The sequence below is a fragment of the Homo sapiens genome, chromosome 13 (genome assembly GCF_000001405.40).
Source record: "Homo sapiens chromosome 13, GRCh38.p14 Primary Assembly".
NCBI lineage: Eukaryota > Metazoa > Chordata > Mammalia > Primates > Hominidae > Homo > Homo sapiens.
This window is the reverse complement of record NC_000013.11, coordinates 38,403,650-38,408,106: the sequence shown is the minus strand read 5'-3', so window position 1 is coordinate 38,408,106 and position 4,457 is coordinate 38,403,650.

Here is a 4,457-nt window from a genome sequence, read left to right as displayed (position 1 = left end):
TATAGAAGCAATATTCATCTAACTATTTCACAGTTTTACAAGAAGTTAGTGACTGTGGGTGATTAAAGCCTCCAGCCACGTTATAGTTCCCAGGATCAGCAGCCACGGTGGCTCTTGTTCAGAAGCAGTACCTCCAGCAGCTTCCCAGGAATCACATAGACGATAAAAGAGTTACAGGTACCTGGACATTTGCCTTTAGAAAATGGATTATAGTTGTTTTAAAACAAGGAGAAGAGAGTGTAATGTTGAATCTGACCAGTTTTGCGGATATGGATGAACTGACCAAGGATTCTAATGTCAACATACTACTTTAAGGGGCCAGAAGGGATACTGAGGGTTTGCTCAAATGACTGGTTGAAACCTAGCTTGAACTGAAGACTATTAAATGAAGTTGACATGCCAGTACAGATAAGAATCTTAAGGATATAAAAATTTTAGAATAAGCTGCTTATCAAATTTCTAATTGGAAAGGTCCAGAGACTTGCTTCACTGAAGCATAGAGAAATACAGTAGTCTAAAAAGTACTAGCAATACAGGAAAGCCAGGTATTATAGTAATCGTTCTCTACATGAAGAGAGGCCAGTGGGAAACGCCTTCATAGACACAGGTTCTCTGATTTCAATGGGGATGATGAGATCCCCAAATGACTGAGGCTGGAGAGCAGGGATTAATCACTGGAGAAAAGATGAATTTGTTTATGTAAATGGGCAGCAGCCTCAGAGAAGTATCAGAATGATATGACCTACAAAGATCTTGGCGTTAGCTAACTGTTCAAATATCCCATAGGCTAAAATAGGTGGGTAGACTACTAATGTTTCATTTGATATGTAAAAGAAAAATAATTACTCGCTTTCAGGTGAAGGTACTTGACTTAAACTAACCGTAATTTAAAATCCCAGCTCCTAACCAAATTCTCAGACCTGCTTCAATTTGTAGACTCAGGACCCTGTTAATGGAGGAAAAAACAGAATGAGTTTTCTCTAGAAAGGACATTGAGACAATGCTCTAAGTATGCAACTGAACCTTCCTCCTGCAGCCACCTAACAGGGAAAATTTTTACTGGTGTAAGGAAAATATACAGATTTGTGGAAATTACTAGACACTGGCTCTACACTGACACTAGTTCCTGAGACCTAAGATGCCACTGTGGTCCATCAGTCAGAATGGTAGCTTATGGATGTCTGGAGCTTTAGCCTATGCAACTGCATCTTCAAATACAATCTAGAGTATATAGTTGGAATGTACACACTTAGAACTGGCAGAATCTCCAGGTGGTTTTCTGAAACACGCGGTGGGGTCTATTTTGTAGGAAGAATCAAGAAGCCTCTGAAACAACCACTCTCTATAAAACTAAACCAATCCTGTATACCTAGGTGAACCACAAAGTACTGAAAGGTGCAGGAGTAGTAGTATCCTCAGATTCTCTTTTTTTTATGCAAAGGACCAATGCATCATAATAACAGTAGACAATTGTAAATTTAATCAGGTGGTGACTCCAACAGCATTCATTGAGTTTTTACTGGAGAAAATCGGCACAGTTCCTGCTACCTGCTATGCAACTACTATTTTGACAAATTAATTTTCCCCTATTTTAATTAGAAAAACTACACCAGTAGTTTGTTTTGTTTTCATCTTACAGACATCTCAGTACACTTTTACTGCTTTAACTCAGAACTGTATCACTTCTTCTCTCTGCCTTAATACTGTACACAAGAATCTTTATTATTTTGTCATCCTAGTGGTCCACTGGTCACTGGTTATTGTCATGCTGACTATGTCTTGTGAGAAGGTTGTAGCAAACACTCTAGATGATTTGGTTAGACCTATCTCTGTCTGTCTCTCTCCTCTCCCTCTAACTGTCTACCAAAAGTAGGAAATAAATTTCAATCAAATTTAGTCTGCCACCTCAGTGAGATTCCTAAAAGTCCACAGTTTAGAGCATATATGTCTGGTATTCTTGGGGTCTAGTAGTCTAGTATAATACACATAGCCTAGGACATGTATGTCCAGTTCTCCTACATGAAGATCAAGTGACACTGTGTACAACCTGCCACCAAGAAAATGGCACAATAATTTCTGGGCCTCCTTGTATCCTTGAGACTAGACTTAAATGTGTCTCTCTGAGGCGTTTACCCATTGGAAGGCTGCCACTTTTGAGCAGACACCAAAATAAGAGATGGGTTCTAACAAGTCCAGGATATTCAATGCAAGCTATTCTGCTACGTAGGCCTCATGTTCCAGTAGATCCAAAGTTCTCAAAATGTCTTCCCCTCACCATGGCTGATTTTGCTATTGCCTTTGCTGAATGCTTAGTCAGACACCATAGTGAGCTCCCACTCTGACACAATTACCTAGGGATTCAGCCAACCACCTGCTAGCAGGCTAGGTGCAGTCAATCCCTTCTATCTTGGAATGGAAAATAATTCATCATCACTGGAATAAACACTTTGGATTTTATCCAAAACATGCCTTTAGCACTCTTATTTGTATCCTAACTGAATTCCTTATTCATTTTTATATTATCTCACATAACATTGCTTTTAATCAAAGAACTCATTTTATAGAAAAAGAAGAAAATAGGCTCACTCCCAAGGGATTCATTGGCTTTACTATGTACTCCATCATTCAAAAACGTCTTATCTACTAGGATGGTGGAATGGTTATGGCAAATTCTGCTTGGCCAGCTGACAAGACATTCCAGGGCTGAGATCCTATCTTATATGGTGTATATATGCTTTAAACTAGTGACTAATACATTGTACTATTTCTCTCATATTCAGAATACCTGGGCCCAGGAATCAAGGTACAGAAATAGAGTGACTCCTCTCTTCATTAATCCTAATACCAAGATTAAAAAAGAATTTATTCTTGCCCCCACCTCAGCTTTAAGCTTGGCTAGTATTGAGGTCTTAGTTCTCAAGAAAGGAATGCTTCCACCCAGAACAAAATGATGGCTTCAGAGAACTTAAAGTTGAGACAGACACTTGAATATTTTTCAATTTTCATGCCAGTGACCCAATAAGCAAAAAGAAAAAAAAAAGAAAAGAAGTCTAGTATGCAATGATCAATCTCAAACATCAGTAGGAAATGGGTTTACTGTTACAGAATGAGAGAAGTGAGGACTATGTCAGGAGTGCCTGGTAGCACTTTGGTGTCCAGTAGTAAAGTTAACAGGAGATTATAGCACATCAAAAAAGGCATTGCCTTTAATAACTCAATGCTTCAAAAATGACGCTTTAGCTCAGGCTATCTGGTAAATAATTCTGATCAGCTGACAGGATGGCTGAGGCAAGAGACAAATTGAGTGGAAACAAAACAGACATTAATATTAATCATAACCTTGCAGCCACTTACACTTAGAGAAGTGAAGATTTAGCCTTTATGCATATTTCCTCACTTGTGATGCCTATTATTTGTATGTGTTTACTAATATTTTCTCCCTCTCTACCTCCTCCTTATTGATAGTGATTAGGTTATAGAATCTGAAGGCAATTGATAGAACTAAAAATGGAAAAATTACTCAGATGAGAATATTGTGACTGGTAAGCCTTTTTCTTGCCATCTCTCTTTTTGGAAAAAGATGATTTTTAAAAAATCTTATCAGGACTAGTTGTGTGATGAGGTCATTGAAATTGTTGCTGTTCAGAAGTTAAATATAGGTAGAAAGAAGTATGCTTGTGGATGCTGAGTAAACAAAGGGGTGGACTGTTCCACATATGGTCTCTGGCGACTCAGTTCCATTTTTCTTGTTTTCTTTTGTATTTCAAGGGGCTAGAAGTCTGAAAAAAACAATACCAAGTATTTCAAGGCAACTGGATTATGATTAGGTTTTACAAGTGAGGGTCATAGCTAAGGGATTAAAATATGGGGGAAATAAAGGAAAAGTAGAAGGCCACTAAAAGTGACCACGGTCTCCAGACAACTCCAGCAACTTCAATGTGTGCAGTGATGGCTTCTGCTCAGGTGCAGCAATTGGTGTCTCCAGTAGCCTCAGCAATTACACTTTCAGTAACTTCAGCAGCAGCAGCAATAGCAATAGCAGCAGCAGCAACAGCAGCCGATGGCTCCTGCTGAGCATCAGAACCTCCAGCAGCTCAACAGAGCGTGTGGGCTCCTGAGCTTCAGCTTATGGCTTCAGAAGGAACCTCCTGACCACTGAGGAACATCTTTCTTTTGTACTTTCAGTCCCTCCTACACCTAACTTTCTGATTCCCATTCCATCACTTTCTTCTTTATTTGTCTTCAAGTTACCACATCACCTTTGTTTCCAGTTCCCAGAATTAATCCCTTGAAGTATCTAAGTGAATCCTTTCTCCTTGACTGAATATTGATTGATATTTACAGTTTCTAACTGCAATAGAGGGTGAATTGTTCCACAGAGACGTAGAGTGGGCAATCTAATATGCCATTCTGTAGAGTTAGGGGGACTCTCTTTAGACAGATTGTGTATGTTGGGC